The sequence below is a fragment of the Homo sapiens genome, chromosome 3 (assembly GCF_000001405.40).
Source record: "Homo sapiens chromosome 3, GRCh38.p14 Primary Assembly".
NCBI lineage: Eukaryota > Metazoa > Chordata > Mammalia > Primates > Hominidae > Homo > Homo sapiens.
The window spans coordinates 194,045,431-194,069,670 of NC_000003.12; the positions used below are offsets into that span (position 1 = coordinate 194,045,431).

Sequence of the window (24,240 nt, forward strand, 5' to 3'; positions counted from 1 at the left end):
GTACCCATTTGACTAATGAGAAAACTAAGACTCAGACTATGTGGTCTGAGGTCACATAGCAAGCATGTGATTGTTCTCAGGCTTGACCCCACATCCCTCTGTACCACCACACCTGTCCTTGTAGCATACTGAGAGAATTGCACACACAAGCATGTTGCTGGATCCCAGGGACAGTGCTCACCCTGACTCCCACCTCCACCCCACTCAGGAAACTGGGAATTTTCTCCTGCCTCAGCCTCCTGAGTAACTGGGATTACAGGCCTGCACCACCATGCCCGGCTAATTTTGCATTTTTAGTAGAGATGGGATTTCTCCATGTTGGTCAGGCTGGACTCAAACTCCTGACCTCAGGTGATCTGCCTGCCTCAGCCTCCCAAAGTGCTGGGATTAGAGGCGTGAGCCACCGTGCCCGGCCCCAAGTAGAAATCTTATACTCCACGTAGGCCTGAAGCGCAAGGCAAGAAATAGGAAGCTACCCTTTCTGGTATGTGGAGTTGCTGAGAAAGTGTTATCTGTAAATTGTTTATCCAGATCCATAGAGAACAGCTTTTACAAGCACAGTCCCAACTTTTGGCAATTTTTGCAAATCATTTGGATTAAGGTAGCATGCAGCTATTGTGTTGGGCTAAGTGTGAGTATGTGGCTGGATGTGAAATTTTACTGACAACCAAACCATAGTTGGGAAACTTGAAAGTGTTGCCAAGGCTCAGGGAGCTGTTGGTAAACCCAGGTAAAGTTTTGGCTCAGTGAAGAGATAACTTGATCCAAGTTTTGAACAAGATGGAATTATCACGAGCAGGAGCAGATGGATGGGGTAAATCACATGAAATCAGCCTAAACTTATTAAAAGCTGACCGCAAAGCTTCTTCCATTTATGTCCAGTGTTCTAGTTATCTATTGCTGCATAATAAACCACCCCAAAACTCAGTGGATTAGAACCTGGCCATTCCGTTGTATCTCCTGAATGTGTGGGTCAGGAATTCAGGCAGGGCTTGGCTGAGAGATTCTGTTCCACATAGTATCAACCAAGGTTACTCACAAGTATTCAGCTGGCAGGTGGGCTGGTCTGAAGGGTCTGTGATGGCTTCACTCACATGTCAGGCACATTGGTGGACATGGCTAGAAGGCTGGGCTTGATGGCTAGAAGGCTGGGCTTGATAGAAACTGTTGATCAGAGAACCTATCCATACATGGTCTCTCCAGCCTGGTGGCCTCAGGGCAGTTGGACTTCTTACACAGCAGGTCAGTGCTCCAAAAACAAGTACACAGTGAACAAGCTGGAAGCCACATGGTTTTTTATGACCTAGCTTTGAAATCACATAGAGTCACTTCTGCTGTACTGCTTGTCAAAGCAGTCACAAGCCCAACCAGATTCAAGGGGAAGAGACTTAGATCCAAACCCTCAATGGTAGAAGTATGTAAAAGTACAACATCCAGATTGGGTTAGAAGTAAGGAAGGGGCCGGGGATGGTGGCTCACACCTGTCATCCCAGCACTTGGGAGGCTGAGGTAGGTGGATCACCTGAGGTCAGGAGTTCAAGACTAGCCTGGCCAAAATGGCAAAACCCCCTCTCTACTAAAAATACAAAAAATTAGCCAGGCATAGTGGCAGACACCTGTAATCCCAGCTACTCTGGAGGCTGAGGCAGGAGAATCACTTGAACCCAGGAGGCAGAGGTTGAAGTGAACCGAGATTACACCACTGAACTCCAATGCCTTGGCAACAAGAGTGAAACTCCATCGCAAAAAAAAAAAAAAAAAAAAAAGGAAGCAAAGAAGGGAAGCCAGAGCTTGCAGGCTTCCTCTGAATCTGAAATTATAGTTGCAGTTGCTTTGTCCAAGGGAAGGAATTCTAAAGGGAGGGATCTGGTTGGGTTAAAATTGTTGGAAAGCCAAACCAAGTCCACACTGGATTCTACAGAAGATTTGTTGTCCCACTGAGCTCACAGGGACACCCAGGCACCTGCTGCAGCACCACCCTGCTCTCTGGCCTGTACTGCCAGCTGCCAGCGTGGCCTGGCTTCCTGACAGCTCTGCACTCAGCACTGGCTGTCATGATGAAAGCAGCTGAGCAAAGTGTTTCCCTTGCTTGGGGACGCTGGTCTCCTGGAGCTGAGAAAAAGGGAGGAGGCCAATGTGGGAGAGTTTGGCTGATTTGAGCAATATGCAGACCACATGGGGATCAGGAGCCTGAGAAAGAGTGCCTGGTCTTGCTCATCACATTGAAGGCCTGCAACTAAGGTCAGGCTCCATGGGGCACTCTCACCAAAGCCTGCATCTCCCAAGGCAAGGCAACTCTGTGAGCCTCAATGCTGATGGTACTGTCCAAGCATGGAGAAGAGGAGAATGCCACAGTCTCTCACACATCTAGGTACCACGGCCTGGCACAGGTATGTCCTCAGAAGAGTCAACTGAATAAACTCATTGGTTCAATTGAATATGCTTTTCACATAATGTTTGTGCACTTTTTTTTTTTTTTTTTTGCATTTACTACGTAAGAGATCTAGAAAAGGATGGCAGTGGGGGTAGGGGGTTGGTAATGAAAAGAAGAGAGAGAAAGGTCCTGATGCTTGTGGAAACAAGCTTCTGGCCTTGAACTATGGCCCAATCCAGTGGCTGGAAGTAATCTGACCCTACAGAGAGCCCCTTGGCTAATAAGCTCTTTACTCAGAATGAGTTTGAAATGTTTGATACGGTCCTAATTAAACTAATTATTTCCCTCCAAACTTGCAAACTTATATAAATAATAATGCTTTCATATATGCTAATTCATCAGTCCTTACAAAACTCCAAGGAATAGATGCATTTATCCTTTTTACTTTCAAACATGGAAAAAATAGAATGAATCAAATAAAAGCCCAGATTTGTCGCTCTCTCTCTGTCTCAAATCCTGTTTTGAATTGCTGCTCTGCCTCTGGGGTGATTCTACAATCACCACTCACCCCATCACGTGGCCTAGAAACCTAGTAATATGGGCTTCATCCTGACCTCCATGGCAGTCAACAAACAGGTCTCATTCATTTTTCATCCTCAGCCTTCCTCTATCACTCGCCTTGTGTCAGGGTCCTCAGACTTTCATCCTTCATTCCTTGCCACCAGGGCTATTGAGCCAGCCTCCTGACAAGACCTCTGTTCTACCCCTGTAGTCCATCCCTCACACTGTAACCAAAGAAACCTGAAACACAGACCTCAGCATACTAAGCCTTTTGCTCATAAAGTATCACTCACTCCCTACAACTCTACAGCCTGCAGAATAAGTGACTAGCCCTGAAGCCTGGTGTTCAAGGCTTTCCGTGATCTCCTCCTGATCAACATTTCTCATCTCATCTACCACTATCCCCTTTCATGATGTTTTTGCAAACCAGAGTCTGCAAAGCTCTGAGCATTGTTCTGGAAGAGGAGAGGAGTTCTACACAATAATTTTGAAATGTTATGTTTTTGTTTCAGTGATACAGGAAAAAATAGATAAATATAACACTCACTTTCTGATCCTGCCTCATTATTTTAATCTCTGTGTTATTTATACTTGCTTTCACAATCTTTGATGTTATTAACTATTCAGGTGACAGTTTTTAACTTTGAACGCGGAGTTTCTCAAACTGTGGTTGCAGAGCCTCCAAGAGTACCGGGATAGTTGCTCATAAGTCTTCAAGCTCTTCTCTATATTCCAGCTGTACTACACTGTGCTTGTATGTGGATCAGATCACAAATTTCATTTTAGCCTTATCCCTGCTTCATCATCTTTACTCGTGTTCTTCCTTTGGTTTAGAATGCCTTTCCACATTCTGCACACTCAGCTCCTACCCAGCACCATTTCCAAGCTTCTTCACGCATGTCACTAGGGATAGCCCTGCTATAGATCTCCAGATGTAAAGATTCTCTGAGTTGGAATGGGCACTGTAGATCATAGGCTATTGTCCTCTTCTTACAGTGAGAAAAACCTAGGCACAAAAAATGGAAGTAACAAACCAAGTCTAGAATCCAGGCCCCCTGACATCTTATATGGTGTTCTGTTCACATCTCGCAACATACTGCACACTTTTCTTAAAAGTTTTATCATCCATTTTTACATTGAGTGGCTGGAAGGGCTGCATGCAGAGTAAATCCTTAGCTTCCCTATAACCATAACTGACAGGGCCATAAAACCACAGTAATTACCTGACATGTTCATATGTCTAAAGCACTATAATAGAATATCCCATGAGATCTGAATGCTGGAAGCACTTTGCATTTTTGCATTGGACAATGGAGGCTGCTCCAATTAATGTCAATCAGACTTACTCACTCCAGAGAAGTCCAAAATTATATGCTGATTTATTGAACTTAGTATAATGTTCCAAAATTGATTTTTTAACATTTCTGCAAACTAAGATATTATAGAGAGGCAATATAGCAATTAGTTCAATGTTCTGAACTTAGTAGACACTCAATAAATGTGAGCTGAATGAATAGATGCCCCATAGGCTGGGAGCCAAGATACCTGAGTGCCAGTCTCATTCTTCTACTAATAGGCCATGGGGGATTGGGAAAATTGCTTTCCCTCACTAAGCTTCAGTCTACTCATCTGTAAAATGAGGTATTTGGAGCAACCCAATTTTATCTTCCTGAGATAAGTCCCTTGCAGCTCTAAAAGTCTACAATTTTGTGAAAATGATAAATCCATTTATACTATTGGTGTCAAAGGAAAAGAAAAATAATACTATAATTTATTACCTATTCTAATTTTATGCTCAATTGCTTCTTTCATGCATCATTATAGGTGTTTTCAGATCCATTACATAGTTGAGTTATCACGACTAACTTTTGAGGAAAATACTATTATATTCTGCCTCTACATTTGGGAAAACAAGTTTTATTAACTTGAGAAGACTTCAACTTCCAGTCTTGATAGAATTACTACTGTTCTCAGACATTGGGAAATAGATAGTGCAAACTGTAATCTGTGAGAGAATGCATCAATGAGGTGAGACCTGAAATAACCCTAGCTTTATGCTTGCAGGCAATTTCCAGCCCAAGAGCACAGTCCAGTAGCTTCACTAGGTTGAGGAGACAGAGATCAGTCTGTGGACCTGAGGCAGCTAGGAGGTGAGGATCACAATTTTTGAAAGGAGGGAGATACACAGAAAAATAACACCATAAGTCTGCTGAGATATTTTCCTGAGTCTTTGCTGAGTATTCAACTATATGTGTATAAAGTAAAACTCTACATGACCAGGGAAGAGAAACGACAGGAGAGTTGAAGCTGAACAATCCAAAGCTCTCAAAAGGTAAGGCCGTAATTGTGCATCAACCAGCCAACGTGGAGAGTCCTTGGTGATCCCTTGGGACATTCAGTGAAGAACCCAGAGAAATCACACTTGAGGAAAATGGCTGAATTATTCCTGGAGTGAAGGTTACTCCAGACTCTCCATAGCAAAGTGTAAAGCCAGGATTCAAAGATGTCAAACTGATCCATGTGTAACTTAACTGTCTGCCAAAATAAAGCCCAAACAAAGCCAAAACCAAGATTTTTCTTTAAAAAAAGAAGACAACAAAGTCCAAATACTTAATGATAGAATATTACAATGTCTGCCATCTAATAAAAAATTACTAGACATATAAAGACGCAGAAAAATGGTGACCCATAATCAAGAGAAAAATCAGTCAATAGAAACAGACCTATAAATGACAGAGATGATGTACAAGTATTTAAGTGACTTGACAAGACCCATCAGTAGGGAGTGCAAATTCAAACCCAGGTCTCCTGACACTCATTTAGTGCTCTTTTCATTGCCTGTGCTCACCAGTCTCTCTGCATGTGTGGACATTTATAGGGTTTTACCATGACAATCCCAGTGCCATTTTCCTATGCTTCTGGTCTGCACTTTGGTCACAATAGCTGAGAAGCCTGCAGAGGTAGCCACAGATATGAAACCTACAAAGGCCAGTCTCTGATCAGGAACAAGCACTGACCATCTTCATAGACAAAATTTCAACAATGCTGAAACAGAACTCACTTGTGTCTCTTCCCCCTCCTATAGAACTTGCATGGGAATTACCCATGGCCATTCCCACATGGCCACTCCTGGTCACATCTCTGGCCAGAAGGTCTCTCCTCCCCAAGGGCTACAGCTTAAGGGAACATGAAAATCAGTGTGTGAACAATGGCAGCATGCACCAGGAAACCAGCCCTCAGCTTCAGCCCTGATTGGCAAAAACTTAAGCAAGGGGTAAATGGAAACAGAAAGCATCACAGGAGGCTGTCAGCCTGCAGAAAGGTACAAGTCCCACCCCCAATGCTGGGAGTATATTCATGTGTGTGCTGCCTACAAGTGTTTGTAAGAGAATGGTGACACAGAGTCACCTCCCAGGCTGGGGGTACAGTTTTCCTCCCTGCAATTTACTACACAAGTTGTTACCAAAGCAAATATCAAAGCCCTGCAATTTGCTAATTATAGGCGGGATCCTGGGCTTGTGGGCCCAATTAACCACTTGTTCCTCATTTTCTGTGTATGACCTGCCGACTGCACCCACAATTACCCACTTGTCTTTTTAACTGCCCTGTGAGCTGGCTGACTCACCTCCAATTCACTCCCACTATCCCCTCCAGATGGCCTTTGGTATCTTTTTGTTTCCAAGCTCCCTCCACTTGACTATTATCTTTCTTTGCATCACAGGCCACTGTCTGGTCACCCAGGCTAGGGCTCCTACAAGAAGTCCTGATCTTACTCTTTGCCTACACTTGGAGCCTGTAAGGCAAGAAGCAGGTCCTGTTGGTCTCGGCATCTTGCCTAGCTCCTCAAGGAAGCTCAGGAGGCTGTGGCCACATTCAGCCTCTGCTCCCAGACAGACTCCACAAAAGGAGCAAGGAAAATTACAGCTTCTCTGGAACAGGCCCACTGCCAGGGCTCCTGCCCATGGCCTCCATCAATGCCTCCCTGGTTCCCTACCTCAGCCAAGCCAGGGCTGGATCCAGGGAAACTCATCACCATTCCTGGAAGAGGACATCCCAACAGCTGCCAGCATTAGCTCTCTGGAGAGACACAAATCAAAAAAGGAGAAAAATCCCTCAGGATCTCCTGCTTCATTAGGCAGACTTCCTGGCAAGCAAAGAATTTCCAGCAAACTTTTTGATGGGTTACTATGTCAATGGTTCCTACCCTTTTTTGTGTCACAGACACCTTGGAAAATCTAATGAAAGTTCTGGACCCTCTCCAGTGAGAAATGCTCATATGCATTCATCCATTTATTTATTTAATCATTCAGCAAATACTTATGGAGCACCTATGTGCCAGGCACTATTGCAGGGACTCAGAAACATCAGTGGACAAATAGACAGAATTTCCTGCTCTCATGTAGCTTATATTGTAACACAGAAAAACAAGCAATAAAAATTGAATGTAATAAATACGTAAAATATATAATTTGCTAGAAAACAAGTACTATGGGCCAGTCAAGGTGGTGCACACCTGTAATCCCAGCACTTTGGGAGGCTAAGGCGGGCAGATCACTTGAGCCCAGGAGTTCGAGACCAGCCTGGACAACATGGCAAAACCCCATCTCTACAAAGAAAAAAAAAAACGAAGAATTAGCCAGGCATGGTAGAATGTGCCTATAGTCCCAGCTACCCAGGAGGCTGAGGTAGGAGGATCACTTGAGACCAGGAGGTTGAGACCTCAGTGAGCCATGATCACTCCACTGTACTCCAGGCTGGGCAACAGAGTGAGACCCTGTCCTGGTAAAGAGTGCTATGGAAAAAGGAAAATTAGAGCAGGATAAGAGAGAGATAGGTGGGAATGATGTCACATTTTTAAACAGGATGTGTCAGGGAGTCTTCATTGAGAAGTGAATGTGAGCAAAGAACCAAAGAATATAAGCGGTTTTGCCATGTGGTTATCTGGGGAAAGAGCACAGCAACAAGAGCATGAACAGCCTGAGGTCATGCCCAGCGTGAATGAGGACAAGCAAAAAGAGCAGCATGGCTGGACCTCGGGAAGTGGGAGGAAGGCTGCCTCAGTGAGAGATGAGGTCACAGGGGCAGAAGTCGGGAGACACATATCACATAGGAATTTTACTGAGTTAAATCTAAAGCCATGAGTGGACTTTGAGCAAAGGGGCAATATGATCTAAGACTTTAGAATGTCTGTCTGAGGCTGCTACGGGGAGCAAAAGATTTAAATGTCAAAAAATGGTAGCCTGGGCCGGGCGCAGTGGCTCACACCTGTAATCCCAGCACTTTGGGAGGCCGAGGCGTGTGGATCACCAGGTCAGGAGTTCAAGACCAGCATGGCCAACATGGTGAAACCCCATCTCTACTAAGAAATACAAAAATTAGCTGGGCATGGTGGTGCGTGCCTGTAATCTCAGCTACTCGGGAGGCTGAGGCAGAAGAATCGCTTCAACCCTGGAGACAGAGGTTGCAGTGAGCCTAGATCGCACCACTGCACTCCAACCATGGCGAGAGAGAAAAAGAAAAGAAAAGAAAATGGTGGCCTTGGCCAGAGTGGTTGCAGTGGAGACTGCTGGAAGGTTGAGTCAAGAGCATCTCTGCAATGGATGTGGCATGTGTGAGAAAGAGGCACACGTAGAATTTCACACGCGATTCAGCACTTTAGCAATCCCCTCTGTCCATCCATGGATGCAGGGTCCTTTACCAGATGACAAGGAAAGTGGTGGACCCTAGAAGGGAGAGGGAAGGGACTTCAGTGAGTGGACACGGGGAGCCCTAGCTATATCTACAAGTTTCACTTCTTTTAAATACATAATAAAAAGACATTTAAAGTGAATATGACAAAAGGGAAGGGACTTCAGTGAGTGGACACGGGGAGCCCTAGCTGTATCTACAAGTTTCACTTCTTTTAAATACATAATAAAAAGACATTTAAAGTGAATATGACAAAAGTAACCATTGGTAGTCTAAGTGGTGGATACATGATTGTTATACCATTTCTGTGTATTTTAAAAGACTCATCATTGAAAATGAAGCTGCTTATCTCAAGATTTTCCAGATGCCTCCCGTTTGCTTTTTCAACGTATTGAGGGGGAATCAATACAACAGTGCTGGTCATTCTGTCTGCAACAACTGGCCAGGTGCCTGGGAATGGGAATACTTCATTTCTCTTACTTTCCTTCCCTTTCTTCCAGTGGCTCAGAGTCAAATGTGAGAGAAGACAGGACAAACACAAAAACCACACTGTACCAAACACAGAGTCTAGAGGAGGAAGAGAGTGATGGTAACTGGGAAGACCTGGGAAGGCCTCCTGGCAGAGGCGGCCTTTAAGCAGGATCCGGGAGAATGGGCAAACTGGGACTCGCAAGGAGAGAGACAGTGGGTTCCGCTGGAGGCTAATGCTCTAACAAAGGCACAGTGGGGAGCAAGCTAGGGCCCCAGCACCTACTCCACAATGGCCCATTTTAAGGGGAACAGGCAGGGGATTTCTTTGTCTCTGCTACTGAATCAGAGACCAGACTAGATCTGAGGTGCTTTTCAGAACCCTGAAGTTGCCCCAGTGGGTCCAAGAAGGCCACGTGGTGGACAAGCTTGGTTCTGGGCCTGCAGCAAGCTCTAACCTGCAGATGAGAATGACTTTGGGGCCCCCAGAGATGAGGGCTACTGAGGCAGGGCAGAGCCCCCTTGCAGACCTGAGTGAAGATCTCCTTAGAAGCCTCCCCAGCCAGCTCAGCCACCTCAGGATCTGGCCCCTAGACGCAAATTTCTCACAGTCTGAGCCTTGGGGAAGGTCCCCTGCTGCCCACATTTTGCAAAAATTTGCGCCATGTCACAGTTCTGATTAGGTGCCAAGAGAACTATTTCCCAGGCCACAGCTTTAACAAGGCCATGCTTCCTAATTACTGGTTTTCTCCTAATTAAATAAAAAAGGGGGGGAGGTAACCAGTGATTACCCCACCTTATAATACCACCTTCCATTTATATGCGTCTGTCTTCAGAGAAGCTCAAAGTGCTTTGTATATTATTGCATATTTTTCCCTCGTAACATCCTTGAGATTCCTAGGGGTGCTTATTATCATACCATTTTACAGCTGGGAAAAGAGGTGCTGGCTGAGGTGAAGCAAAGTGTCCAAGTGCCCTCACTAGCGATGATTAGTATTCTGAAGCTCCTCTAAGAAACCCCTATACGTTTAGAAATGAAGTCAGCTCCCGGGAGATAAACTAGGCTAAAGCAACACATAAATAATGGTTATTTATTGCAAACTTTACAATAGTAATTAACACTGTTTAATTCTCACAACAGTCCTATGAAACAGACACTCTTACACTCATCATGAGGACAATGAGATTCAGAGAGGGAAAGTTACTTGCTTAGAGCTGCATAATAATATTAGGTTAGTACAAAAGTAATCGCGTTTTGGCATTACTTTCAATGGCAAAAACCATGATTACTTTTGCACCAAACTAATAATAGTTGTGACAATAGTAAAAGCAGAAACTAATATTTATTGAGCACTTGCCATGGGCCAGGCATTTTAGACTTACTAACACTTTAAGTTCTTACAACACCTTCTGAAGTAGGTGTTAGTATTATCACCATTGTGCTGATGACAAGACTGAAGCACAGAAAAGTTAAGTAACCTGCCCAAGGTCACATAGCAAGTAAGTGGCAGAGCCATACAGGAACCCACAAAGGGTCTCACCATACCAGTTTACCCACCTGAAGGAATATTGTACTCTTAAGGTTGGCCTGGGGATACTCAGACAGTCAGGATGATGCATGGGTACCCCCAGGACACCCTGTGGGTGCACTTTGTTTTTTGTTTGTTTGTTTGCTTTTGAGACGGAGTCTCACTCTGTCGCCAGGTTGGAGTGCAGTGGCACAATCTCAGCTCACCGCAACCTCTGCCTTTCGGGTTCAAGTGATTCTCCTGCCTCAGCCTCCCAAGTAGCTGGGACTACAGGCATGTGCCACCACGCCCGGCTAATTTTTGTATTTTTAGTACAGATGGGGTTTCACCATGTTGGCCAGGATGGTCTCGATCTCTTGACCTCGTGATCCACCCACCTCAGCCTCCCAAAGTGCTGGGATTACAGGCGTAAGCCACCGCGCCCGGCCTAGATGCACTTTCAGTACCCCTGCTGTGTGCTGTGTGGGTGGGTACTGAGTGGGCGGCGGGAGGGGCACAAAGCTCTTCCTGCCTGACTCAGGCAACTGTGCTGGGTACTTTTTGCTGATATAAAATGGCGCTGTAGGAGCTGTTAGCACAAAGGTAATGGAATCCAAGAGGAAGAATTAGCCAAGAGAGACGTTCAGACCAGTGGGAAGCGAAGCTGGTGTGGCGCGTGTTTGGGGGAGGGCACACATCTTGCTTTTCCACGTGCCAGAGAAGGGAGCTCTCAAACCATCCTAGAACTTTGGTCTTCACTGCTCTCTCCCCAGAAGCATCCTCTAAGGACTCGTTCTGTGCCCACACCTCCATACAAAGAAACAAACTAGACAGGGACAAATTCTGACTCCTCGACAGTCTAGCCAAACCTGTTCATCAACAAACTGGCCTGCTGGATGCAGACTTCACTGTTTCAGGGCAGGAGTTCCCCCAAGTGCCTGGCATACTTCCTGGGGCATCCAAGGCAAGACCTGGCCCCTGCCTCAACCCTCATGCCGTGGGTCCCTCTCTTTCTCACACCTCTCTCCTCTCTCTTCAGACCGACCCTGGGAGCCAACTGCCTGCCATCGGCCTCTCCTGTCCCTGCCTGCCCTGTCCCTTTCCAACAGGCAATAGATGAGGTTGCCAGGGAGCCCCTCTTGAGAATGGCGGCATGAGAGTCAACAAGCTGCCAGCACGTGTCCAAAACGGACAGCAAGTACTTAGTTCCTGGTGAGTGCTGGGTGTGCCACCCCGGGGTCCCAGCACTTTCTGACCAAAACAGAGCATTTAAGAAGGTCCTGGCCAGGTGTGATGGCTCACGCCTGTATCCTAGCACTTTGGGAGGCCGAGGTGGGCGGATCACCTGAGGTCGCGAGTTCGAGACCAGCCTGACCAACATGGAGAAACCGCGTATCTACTAAAAACACACACAAAATTAGCCGGGCGTGGTGGTGCATGCCTGTAATCCCATAGTCCCAGCTACTTGGGAGGCTGAGGCAGGAGAGTCGCTTGAACCTGGGAGGCGGAGGTTGCAGTGAGCCGACTCCAGCCTCGGCAATTAAAGCAAAACTCCTTCTAAAAAAAGAAAAAAAGAAAAGAAAAGAAAAAAGAAAGTCCTCACTTGCCATGTCTGACTTCCAGATTTCCCAGCGTTTCCTTCTCCACTTTCTTGAGGTTCGTGGCTTGCAAAGGTTAGGAGCACTGGCTCTGGAGCAAGACCGCCTAAATGTAAACCCAACCCAACCATTTGGAAGCTGTGTGATTCTGAGGAAGTTGTTAAACCTCTCTGGGCCTTCTTTGGTGCCTGTTAGGCAGAAATAAGAATTCCTATGTCATAGAATTGTTGTGATGATTAAATGAGTTATTACATTTAAGTGATTAGAACCGTGCTTAGCACAGAGGAAGCACTCAAAAGTTAACTACTATTAGTGATGTCTAAACTTTTTTCCCCAGGGAAGGATCAATGCATTTATCTGAGTCAAGTTCAACTTTGCACTCCAGTCCTTCAGGCAGGTAGAGAGGTATCTGAATCATGTGAAAACCGTTACCGGTTTGGGGGCGAATATCAGGAAGGAGATTTAGCCCTTAGAGATTTAAGGGCTTAAAGAGCCTCAGTCCCTGTTGACCACATAACATCTGCAGAAAAGAAAAAAAGAAGGAAAGAGCGCTGAAGGACCCACCCAGGGAGGAGGCTGAGCCGCGCTCCCTCTAGCCTCCCCAGAGGTGCATTCGTTAGGTTCCCGCCCCGGCCCCAGCCCCAGCCCCAGCATCAGCTCCGGTTCCTCTGCAGACGTTCAGCCCCTTCGGAAATGTAAAACCCGGGAAGCGAAAGCTGCGGCGACCTCCCAGAGCCTCTCAGGCACGCGGCATCTCTCCCCACCGGCAGCGCCTTGAAATACCAAAGGCCTAGCCAAAGATGGAACCGTTTTGTTGGGAGCTCGGGTTTCCCCCGCCGCGAGGCTGAGCCGGTGGCGCAGCTGCTCAAAGGTCACGCCCGAGACACGTCCGCACAAGCCCGGGTGGCGGGGCGGGCAGCGGGGAGAGAAGAGGGGAGTGGGGAGGGGGACGGGGGCAGGGGGGAGGGGCGCCACCTTCTCCAGGGCCCTGCGGGGTGGGCTCCCATCTTCATCTCGCAAGCATCCAACCCGGGGAGGTGGCTTTCCTCTCCCTACTAAGATTTTATTTTTGCAAAACAAAAGGGATGCCAAAAAAGCAAAAGTTCCTAAATGAAAAGAAAATGCTTCTTTAAAAATGCTAATTGTGAGCTTTTTATTATTGTTTTGGAATTTCAACTGATGGCTGAAAATCTAAATTTGGCCACAGGAAACCTGGATCCAGTTAACCTTGAGAAGTTAAGTCTTCATTTTCTATTAAGTAAAATATTTGGGTTTGAATGCTTAGAGCCCTCTGCTTATGATAAAAATAGAGGCACTGAGCAGTTTAACCACCTGTGTTTTCCTTGGATCGCATATTTTCCACAGTAAACAAGAAAACACAGATTGGAAATCCATTCATTCCTTCATAAGAGTGCTTCAGTTGGGGTTTATTTGTGTTTTCAATCAATAGAAACCAAAAACAACCTTTGCAGGGTTATGATATTTCATGCAAAGAAGCTCCAAGAAGCTCTTTTTATCCCCTCTGCAGCTATTTCTACATAAATCCCCAGATTTTTTTAACGCAGTTAATAATTATAATTCCATTTAGTTTTCTGAGCACATACTACATGTTTTACCTGCTGTCATCTCATTTGTGATAACACTTGGAGAGTAGTTATTCTTAATTCTTATTTGCCAGATGAGAAGACAGGCTCAGAAAAAATAAGCAGTAGCTAATAAGGGACACAGCCTTTACATCTGAGAGCTACAAAGCTGTGCTGATTCCACCACCAGAAACCATTTCCAGTGTTTAAATATTACTAAATAAATAGACGGTTAGATTCATGGACAGGAGTTTGTTCTTTTAATTCCCAAGCTTGCTCTTTAGGTGACAGGCATACAGTGGAAGACAAGTTTCTGGCCAGGATAATACTATATAGCATTACTAAGCCTCTGAGCCTCAGTTTCCCTTCTCCAAAATGAGACATATATTTAAGGTATATATCCAGCTCTGACATCCAGAGACTTATTCGAAATGAAAAGCTTAGGCTCAGGCCGGGTGTGGTGGCTCACGCCTGTAATCCCAGCGCTTTGGGAAGCCAAGGCGGGTGGATCACCTGAGGGCAGGAGTTTGAGACTAGCCTGGCCAACATGGTGAAACCCCGTTTCTACTAAAAATACAAAAATTAGCTGGGCATGGTGGTGGGTGCCTGTAATCCCAGCTACTCGGGAGGCTGACATGGGAGAATCACTTGAACCAGGGAGGCAGGGATTGCAGTGAGCCAAGATCGCACCACTGCACTACAGCCTGGGTGACAAGAACGAACCTCCATCTAAGAAAAAAAAAAAAAGCTTAAGCTCTTTGGTCCATCACTGGCATGGCATAGTATTAATCACCCCTTTCCTGACTCCCTGCTTCTATTCATCTAACTCTGTGGTTCTCAACGTTAAAATCTCCTGGAGGAGCTTTTAAAAATACAGATGCTTAGGCCTCGCAGCCAGAGATTCTGCTTTCATTGGCTTGAAGTATGGCCCAGGCCTCAGCATTTTTCAAAAGCTCCCCAGGTGAATGTGTAGCCAGGGTTGAATATTGATCTAACCTAGTGAACGACTCCAGTTTCATCCACCCCAGCTGTGCTTTTATAAATGTAGTTACCATAACTGGAATTACTTTTTATAAAATCCAATAAGACTAGCGCTACCAGAGTCAATCTCAAAACAGATGTGAGCTTTCACTCTATTTAATTGTGTATTTTGCTTAAATAAGTTAAGGTGTCTCACCAAAGCTTCAAAATGCTGTTAAGTGTATGTGTGTTTGTGTGTGTGTGTGTGTGTGTTTGTGTGTGTGTGCGTGTGTGTTGTTGCTGATCCTTTCCTAAGGGACAGAGACAGAATAGTACTATAAGAACCAGAAGGTTCTAGGTCAATCTGATCCAATAATTGATTGGCCAAGTGAAATAAATCACATAAAATATTTATTTAACCCAGGGATAATGCCCATTCTTTGGAACTGGCTTGTGTTAGACCCAGCCTAAGAGACTGGTCTGAGCTGGAGGTGGTAGAAGTATGAAAGTCAGGATAAGAGGTCAGGCCGGAGCCATTTGAATCCCCAGTGGCTCTAGGCTATTTTATGTACGATTAGTCTCTCATGTTGGCATCTATGAGAGATGTCAAACTTTCCAAGGCACTCCATCTAAATGTGATCCAATGACATAAGTGCCCAGGGAAAGCCCAAACACTCTTATCAATCAAAAAAGATTTAGTTTTCCTATATAGAAGGATCTACTGATTTCTTGATATACAGAAGAAATCTAGCGTTTGTTTTGTAAGTAAATGTCTATAATATTTTAAATGTTCATTAAACGTAAGCTTCTGCTTTGCTGGTTTGCATGACCCTAAGGGACCCATCTCCCCACTGCCACATCATGCACACACACAAACCTCACATACACACTTCACTGAAGTTTTGGGTTTTACATATGCATATACAGGTACTCATACACACCCCCCCCACACACACACACAGTGTCATGTGGTGCATAACAACGTTTCAGTCAACGATGAACTTCATATATGAAGGCAGTCCCATAAGATTATAACACCATATTTTTAGTGTACCTTTTCTATGTTTACATATGTTAAGATACACAAATACTTACCATTGAGTTATAAGTGTCCACAGCATTCAGTGGATGACATGCTGTACAAGTTTGTGGCCTGGGAGCAATAGGCTGTACAATATAGCCTAGGTGTGTAGTAGGCCATACCATCCAGGTGTGTGTAAGTGCCCTCTATGGTGTGTTCACACAATGATGAAATCACCTAACAATGCATTTCCCAGAACGTATCCCCATCCTTAAGTGGCGAATGACCATGTATATAAATGGAAGCAAGCATGTAGTTTCACTCAGCCTCTGGTGACATGTTTAAGGTGAATGAAACACTACCTTTGGTGTTAGTTGACACTGTGGTCGGAACAGTGATTTCTCCAAACATCTTTGGTATGGACTGATATTCAAACAGGTCAAGCAATGCTGGGGACCTTTGGCCTTTACCTGTTACTTATAAATAATCTCAACCATACAAAACAGACAAAAGATTTTACTTAATGACTTAATGTAAAAATGCATGAAATTGCTTGCATGTTAAACTGCTGTGTTTCCCCTTGGCCATAGAAAGATTAACATTTCTGTTTGGGGAATGGTTTTGATCTTGCCTTCCAGCCACAGTATTTACATTCCAGTAAAGTTCATCTGGATTAGTTAATATTCACATGAATGAATATGCAGCCCCAGATCATGTTCTTAAATAAAATTAAATCCAAAGAAGGTGGGGAGACTTATTCTAATAAACTAAAGATGAAAATCACAAAAAGATGCAGAAATACTTGCTAATGTAAATGTCCATGATAAACTCTGGGCCAAAAAAAAAAAAATCATCTAAGGACTAAACCAAGGCAGGAACATACTGATGAAAGTGTGCCTAAAGGAAGAAACAGGGAAACCATCTTGTCAACCCAAATACATTGCCCTGCATAGATCAAAGATGGGTCTGTGCTTTAAAAAATTAAATTTAAAAAAATCATCCTAGATATGAGAAAGGACTTTGAAGTATCAGGGAAGTTGTCATTTCTTGTGTGAAATACAGGTATCAGATCAGAAATGCCGACTTGAACAAAGGAGCTAATGGTATAGTTTCCAGAGCAGGAAGTGTTTTCTGTCCCTACACCCCCGGCCTTTCTCTTTTCTGTAATGATATGTACTCTGAGTTTGAGGGGAGAGGTAACCTAATGAAAATGTTTTTTCTAATTTCTAAGAAATTAGAAAATTACTGTCTTTTTTTTTTTTTTTGAGACGGAGTCTTGTTTTGTTGCCCAGGCTAGAGTGCAGTGGCGCTACCTCGGCTCACTGCAAGCTCTGCCTCCCGGGTTCACACCATTCTCCTGCCTCAGCCTCCCGAGTAGCTGGGACTACAGGCGCCTGCCACCACGCCCAGCTAATTTTTTTGGATTTTTAGTAGAGACGGGGTTTCACCATGTTAGCCAGGATGGTCTCGATCTCCTGACCTCGTGATCCGTCCGCCTCGGCCTCCCAAAGTGCTGGGATTACAGGCGTGAGCCACCGCGCCCGGCCGAAAATTACTGTCTAATGCAATAAACATTTATTGAGCACTTTCTATGTACCAGGCAGTCACTGGGCTAAGCATAAAGGTTCCAAGATGAGTGAGATCCAGTCACCTTCCTCAAGAAGCCCCAGCAGGGGATACAGCTTATATTGAAGATTCATCTGAGGTATTAGTGCAACCAGTTTCACAGCTGATAAATTCAGTTGCTCACAACTTGAGGCTGGGGGGGTGGGAGGGAATGAGCAGGAGGTTTGGCAGTAACTTGAGCATGCCACCAGCTTTGAACTCTAGCCAATTTTTATGGTTAATGCTGGAAATTAACCCGATATGATCATCATTTCAAATCCAACAAAAGATTCCTCAGAGCCAGCCCTGGGCAAGGATTCATGGGAGGTGCTATGGAGCGGGTAGAGATGAATAAATGAGGGTCCCCTGCTCCTCTAGAGGTTTCCAACCAAGTTTCCAGATAAGAAGGAAAACCCCGTAAGTAATGTCAAGGACATCCCATTGTGTATGGTAGGGAAAGATGTAATTGGTTCTCTCCAACAGAAACTACAGTGTGGAAGAATAACGGTTTTGAAATGTGTGGAAGAATAATGCCTTAAAAGCACAGTAGGTCAAAATGCCAGAATGACAAATTAGCTTTGCTAACCACTTGGTGAATGGCCTTTTTTTCAGCACCTTGGGCTGATTAAGAAGTAGATATTAACTGATGAGTTTCTCTTTTCCAACACAGACATTTAACCCTTTGCAGAGAGGTTTTAGAAGCTATCAATTTGTAACTTAGGCTTTTCAGGAAAAGCGAAGTACTGGTGGTACATTTGAATTCCAAAGAGAGATGCTGGTAAAATCCCAAACCACCACCTCTAGGCAAGAATTGGAGCAAAAAGCATCACTTGAAGGAAATGTTACTTAATTGCTTGTTTTTTATTATTCTAACTGTCCACGTCCACTCCTTCAGCTATTTCCTCAAGTCTTCCCCTACCACCCAGGCCTGGATGGCTGCTCCTGCACCTACATTCTTACAGGTCCCTGAGGTGTATCCCTGGATCTTACATCCCAGTCAGTACTGTTTCAGGCTCGTCTTTGACTGGGTCACGGTTGTAGGTGTGGCCTTCCCAAATAATCTGGGACACCCTGACACGAAAGGTCACATCTGTCCCTCTGACTCCCCACTGCTCCTTGCACATCGTGGTTTGTACAATAGGGCTGAGCATGGGCTGACAATGGAAGCCTTGGACTTGGACCAGAAGACCTGGAGACCATGCCCCGTGTGGCCCCCAACTGACTAGTGATTGACCTTGGAAAATTAGCTTTTTTCTGTCTGAGCTTTAGTGTCCCTGTCCATAGAGTGAAGAGGATAGATTCTTTAAGGCCCATCCCTAGTGTTCTATGATTGTGCGATTTCTAACAAATGCCAGATTGTACCTCCATTTCTCTCTCTCTCTCTACACACACACAAACACACACACACTGAAACATGCACACGTACCCGCCTTGTACCTCACTTCTCCTTTCTTCTCCCTGTATTTGTGAAGTAGCAGGCAACTGTACCATTTCAAATGAAGCAAACACACAACCTCACATTATTGCTGTTAGGCCTCTACTGATAAATGCTCCTAAGACTGGCAGTTATTCTAACAATATCAACATAACATTGACCCCAACTCCCACTGAATACAAAACTGAGCACCACATGTGTCCAATTCTTCACCGTTTATAGGACAGTTTTACACCCTATCCTCTATAATTCTACAGTAACCTGTTATTGGTGAACCCATTTTACAGAAGCGGGTTCAGCACAGTCACATAGCTCTTCAGGAAGTTGTCTTCACTGCACAGAAACCAGCCGCCCCTCCTTGAGGTGCCTCAGGCCAGCTGCAGCTCCTTCTGCTCTAAGCCGGAGTCAGGAGGGAGTAGTGAGAGTTCACAATGAGAAAAGAACAAGGAGAAGAGATGGAGAAAGAGGAAGGGAGAGGAGAAGTGGGTAGCTATGGGCCTGATACTGAGGAAAAGTCCCCAGCCTTAACCTGACCTCAGCTCACAATGCCCTACACCTCCTGGGATTTAGAACCCGTGAGTTACTCTTCTGACCCTCTGCCACTTCCTTGCCCTCTCCTGCCCTCTCCCCTGCTGTGGCTTCCCTAAAAAGAATGTCCCTTGCAATCTCTCTCCAGCTGTTTGATCTTTTTAAATGTCCCTCACTTGTCTGTGGCATGTGCTTAAACCAAAAAATAGACCTTGGGCATTCAAGATGGGAAAGAGTATTAAAAGGCAAAAGCCTGCCTCGTGCCAGGGGTGTGGGCAGCCCCTAGATATCTATGATGACCAGATGTCCTGGATTTGCTGGGACAGGCCTAATTTAAAACCTTCTAGTCTCTTGCCCCATAAGTACCTTCACACTTGTCAGACCATGTGTCCCTATTTGGGGCTTGGAAAATATAGTTACCACATGGATACCCGATATCCAAGTGTCACACAGGCCCAGTGTCAGCGTCAGGGGTGGGAAGTGTACAGATATTGAAGCCAGATGGAGCTGCAGTCAACCAGCTCTGCCACTTACCATCTGTGTGGCTTCAGGCAGTTTTTATTCTTTCCAAGCCTCAGTTTCTTCATCTAGACAATGACTAGTTAACCAATAAGTCAGCCCCATAGAGTTTGCCTTATCAGCAAAACCAGTGCTCCTAGACACTTAATACCTTCCAGCCATTCTGTCTGTGCTGTCATATTGTTTTAGTACTTCAGATTTTGGTCACATTTGATGCATTACTATTTAAAACATTAACATAAATGTATGGTTCAGGGAGCATCTTAAACAGCCATGATAATGGAACCAAAATACCCGAACAGATATAAAACATTCTTATTTCTTCCTGCCCATTTATTCTAAATCCCCCATTCCTCAGGACTCCATTCATATCCACTACCCACTGTTCCCTAACAGTTTCATGTGGACTGATCCTGTCCCAGCGGGGTCAGGGTTCTCATCTGGATGTTGCTGTAGGCTCCAGGTGGCTTTTGCTTCTGTTCTCATGCCCTGCAATCCACTGGCCACAGCTCCAACAAGTGGACCTTCCTTGAGCGCCTTTCCCCACCTAGTACTCAAGGGCCAAGGTGGGCAATAGAAGGTGGGGTTGGGGGGTCCACTGTGGAGACAGAAATTGCTCTATCTGATCCTGGTCCCCACTAACCTGCTGTGTGACTTAGGGCTGGTCACTTGATTTTCCCAACCTCAGTACCCTCATCTGAAAACTAGAGTTGAATTTCCTATATCTTGCACCCATGAGAAGCATTTTCAAAGCCTTACTATTACTATGTCATTGTAAAGGATTTACTTACAACTGATACCTCAGAAATTGAAATGATCATTAGTGGCTACTATGAGCAACTATATGCCAATAAATTGGAAAATCTAGAAGAAATGGGTAAATTCCTAGACACATACAACCCACCAAGACTGAACCATGAAGAAATCCAAAACCTGAACAGACCAACAATAAACAATGAGATCAAAGCTGTATAAAAAGTCTCCCAGAAAAGAAAAGCCCAGGATCTGATGGATTCACAGCTGAATTCTACCAAACATTTAAAGAAGAACTAATATCATTCCTGCTCCAACTATTCCAAAAAATAGAGGAGGGGGAATACTTCCAGACTCAGTCTATGAGGCCAGTACAACCCTGATACCAAAAGCCAGACAAAAACACATTGAAAAAAGAAAACTGCAGACCAATATTTCTGATGAATAATGGTATAAAAATCCTTAACAAAATACTAGAAAAGCAAATTCAACAACAAATTAAAAATATCATTCATGATGACCAAGTGGGATTTATCCCTGGGATGCAAGGATGGTTCAACATACACAAATCCATTAATGTGATACATCATGTATCACCAGAATGAAGGACAAAACCCATACAATCATTTCAATTGGTGCTGAAAAATCATTTGATAAAATTCATCATCTCTTCATGATAAAAACCCTCAAAAAAAAACTGGGTGTAGAAGGAACATACTTCAATATAATAAAAACGCTACACAACAGACCCATAGCTAGTGTCACACTGAATGGGGAGAAACTGAGACCCTTCCCTCTAAGATTGGGAACATGACAAGGATGCCCACTTTCACTACTGTTATTCAACATAGTCCTGGAAGTGTTAGCTAGATCAATCAGACAGGAGGAAGAGATATAGAGTTTCCAAATTGGAAGGGATGGTGTCAAACCATCCTTGTTTGCAGATGATATGATCTTATATTTGGAAAAACTGAAGACTCCATCAACAAACTTTTAGAACTGATCAACAAATTCAGTAAAGTTGCAGGATACAAAATCAACATACAAAAATCAGTAACATTTCTATATGCCAACAGGGAATAATCTGAAAAAAAATCAAGAAACTAATTCCATTTACAATAGCTACAAATAAAATAAAATACCTAAGAATTAACTAAAGTAGTTAAAGATCTCTATAATGAAAACCATAAAACATTGATGCAAGAAATTGAAGAAGACACACAAAAAATGGAAAGATATTCTGTGTTCACTGATGGGAAGAATCCATATTGTTAAAATGTCCATACTATCCAAAGCAATCTACAGATTTAAGTCAATCCCTATCAGCATACCAATGACATTCTTCACAGAAATAGAAAGAACAATTCTAAAATTTATATGGAACCACAAAAGACCCAGAATAGCCAAAGCTATCCTAAGCAAAAAGAACTAAATTGGAGGAGTAACATTACCTGACTTTAAATTATACTACAGAGCTATATTAACCAAAACAGCATGGTACTGGCCTAAAAACAGACACACATAGACCAGTGGAACAGAACAGAGAACCCAGAAACAAATCCATACATACACAGTGAACTCATTTTTGACAAAGGTGCTAAGAACATACATTAGGGAAAGGACATTCTCTTCAATAAATGGTGCTGGGAAAACTGGATATCCATATGCAAAAGAATTAAACTAGATCCTTGTCTCTTACCACATACAAATATCAAATCAAAATGGAATAAAGACTTAAATCTAAGGCCTCGAACTGTGAAACTACCAAAAGGAAACATTGGGGAAGCTCTCCAGGACACTGGACTGGGCAAAGATTTCTTGAGTTAATACCTCACAAGCAAGGCAACCATAGCAAAACTGGACAAATGGAATCACATCAAGTTAAAAAGCTTCTGCACAGCAAAGGAGCAAATCAAGACTGCAATGAGATATCATCTCACCCCAGTTAAATTGGCTTTTATCCAAAAGTCAGGCAATAACAAATGTTGGAGAGGATGTGGAGAACAGGGAACCTTCGTACACTGTTTGTAGGAATGTAAATTCGTACAACCACTATGGAGAACAGTTTGGAGGTTCCTCAAAGAGCTAAAAATAGAGCTATTATATGATTCAGCAATCTCACTCTTAGGTATATACCCAAAAGAAAGGAAATGAGTCTATCAAAGAGACATCTGCACACCCATGTTTACTGCAGCACTAGTTACAATAGCCAAGCTTTGGAGGCAACCTAAGAGTCCATCATGGCTAAATGGATAAACAAAATATGGGACATATATGCAACCGAATACTATTCAGCCATGAAAAAGAATGAGATCCCGTCATTTCCAACAACATGAATGGAACTGGAGGACATTATGTTAAGTGAAATAAGCCAGGCACAGAAAGACAAACTTCACATTCTCACTTATTTGTGGGAGCTAAAATTTAAAATAATTGAACTCATGGAGATAGAAAATAGAAGGATGGTTATTAGAGGCTGGGAAGGGTAATGAGGGGGTTGATAGGAGAGTGGGGATGGTTCATGGGTACGAAAAATAGGAAGAATGAATAATACCTAGTATATGTGAGCATAACAGGGTGACTATAGTAAATATATATATATATATATATATATATATATATATATATATATAATTATTTTTTTTTTGAGACGGAGGTTTGCTCTTGTTGCCCAGGCTGATCTCGGCTCACTGCAGCCTCTGCCTCCCGGGTTCAAGAAATTCTCCTGCCTCAGCCTCTGGAGTGGCTAGGATTACAGGCATGCGCCAACACGCCCGGTTAATTCTGTATTTTTAGTAGAGACAGGGTTTCTCCATGTTGGTCAAGCTGGTCTCGAACTCCCGACCTCAGGTGATTCGCCCACCTCGGCCTCCTAAAGTGCTGGGATTACACGGCTGAGCCACCAAGCCCAGCCTCGTAAAAATAATTGAATCATACACTTAAAAATAACTGAAAGAGTATAATTGGATTGTTTGTAACACAAAGGCTAAATGCTTGATGTGACGGATACTCCATTCACCCTGATGTGGTCATTATGCATTGCATGCCTGTATCAAAATACCTTATGTACCCCATAAATATGTACCACCTACTATGTACCCCCAAAAATTAAAAATTAAAATAAATTTAAAATTTTTTTTAAAGGATGTATTCCTCCACTCCCAAACCGCCTTCAGCAACTACTTCCAGGCACATCAAGTAAAAACTCAGCATTCAAAACCCTTCGAACACACCCAGCATTCAGAGTCCTCCATACTCTGGCCATACCCCCAAGCTTCTCTTACCTATTTCCCACGAGCACATGCTTTTTGTACCGGCCATAGCCAGCCCCTTGCTGCTGGCTCACCCTTGCCTCTGAAGCTGTGCCATACTGTTCCCTTCACCAGGCACGCCCTCCATGCTCCTATCTAAGCATTCCCTCCTTGAGTCTCTCTAGACTGAGTCACATCCTTTCCCCACTGCTATGGACTGAACTGTATCCCCCAAAAGCCATAGGTTGAAGCCCTAGCTCCCCGTGTGACTGTATTTGGAGACCTGGCCTTTATAGAAGTAATTAAGGTTAACTGAGATCATAAGGGTGGGGCCCTAATCTGATAGGATTGGTGTCTTCATAAGAACAGACTTGCTCTCTCTCTGTGG

The 24,240-nt window shown here is 44.1% G+C and overlaps 1 long non-coding RNA gene across 3 annotated transcripts in view, besides 3 other annotated features; it reads right to left on the reverse strand.

Moving 5' to 3' along the window:
- The window catches only part of LINC02028 (long intergenic non-protein coding RNA 2028), a 65,515-nt gene that overhangs the window by 39,975 nt on the left and 1,300 nt on the right, over positions 1–24,240 (reverse strand). Inside the window, exons 1-4 of one of the 3 annotated variants that reach the window (NR_136181.1) lie at positions 23,886–24,099; positions 12,207–12,385; positions 8,335–10,155; positions 3,483–3,941 (exon numbers count right to left, since the gene is read on the reverse strand). The exons of 1 other annotated variant lie outside the window; for it this stretch is intronic. This is a non-coding gene — a long non-coding RNA (long intergenic non-protein coding RNA 2028). Of the gene's footprint in view, positions 1–3,482; positions 3,942–6,929; positions 7,013–8,334; positions 10,156–12,206; positions 12,386–23,885; positions 24,100–24,240 lie in introns of those variants that run through there. One more of the 3 variants, NR_136180.1, reaches the window with a different exon arrangement.
- Positions 11,513–12,458: an enhancer, noted in NCBI's record as "H3K4me1 hESC enhancer chr3:193774732-193775677 (GRCh37/hg19 assembly coordinates)". NCBI's record gives its function as "activates a minimal SCP1, AML or CMV promoter by ChIP-STARR-seq in naive H9 embryonic stem cells {active_cell/tissue: H9 hESC(naive)}" and the evidence as "EXISTENCE:reporter gene assay evidence [ECO:0000049][PMID:30033119]".
- Positions 13,094–13,143: an enhancer, noted in NCBI's record as "active region_21011". NCBI's record gives its function as "activates an Ori minimal core promoter by ATAC-STARR-seq in GM12878 lymphoblastoid cells {active_cell/tissue: GM12878}" and the evidence as "EXISTENCE:reporter gene assay evidence [ECO:0000049][PMID:35858748]".
- Positions 17,132–17,632: an enhancer, noted in NCBI's record as "H3K4me1 hESC enhancer chr3:193780351-193780851 (GRCh37/hg19 assembly coordinates)". NCBI's record gives its function as "activates a minimal SCP1, AML or CMV promoter by ChIP-STARR-seq in naive H9 embryonic stem cells {active_cell/tissue: H9 hESC(naive)}" and the evidence as "EXISTENCE:reporter gene assay evidence [ECO:0000049][PMID:30033119]".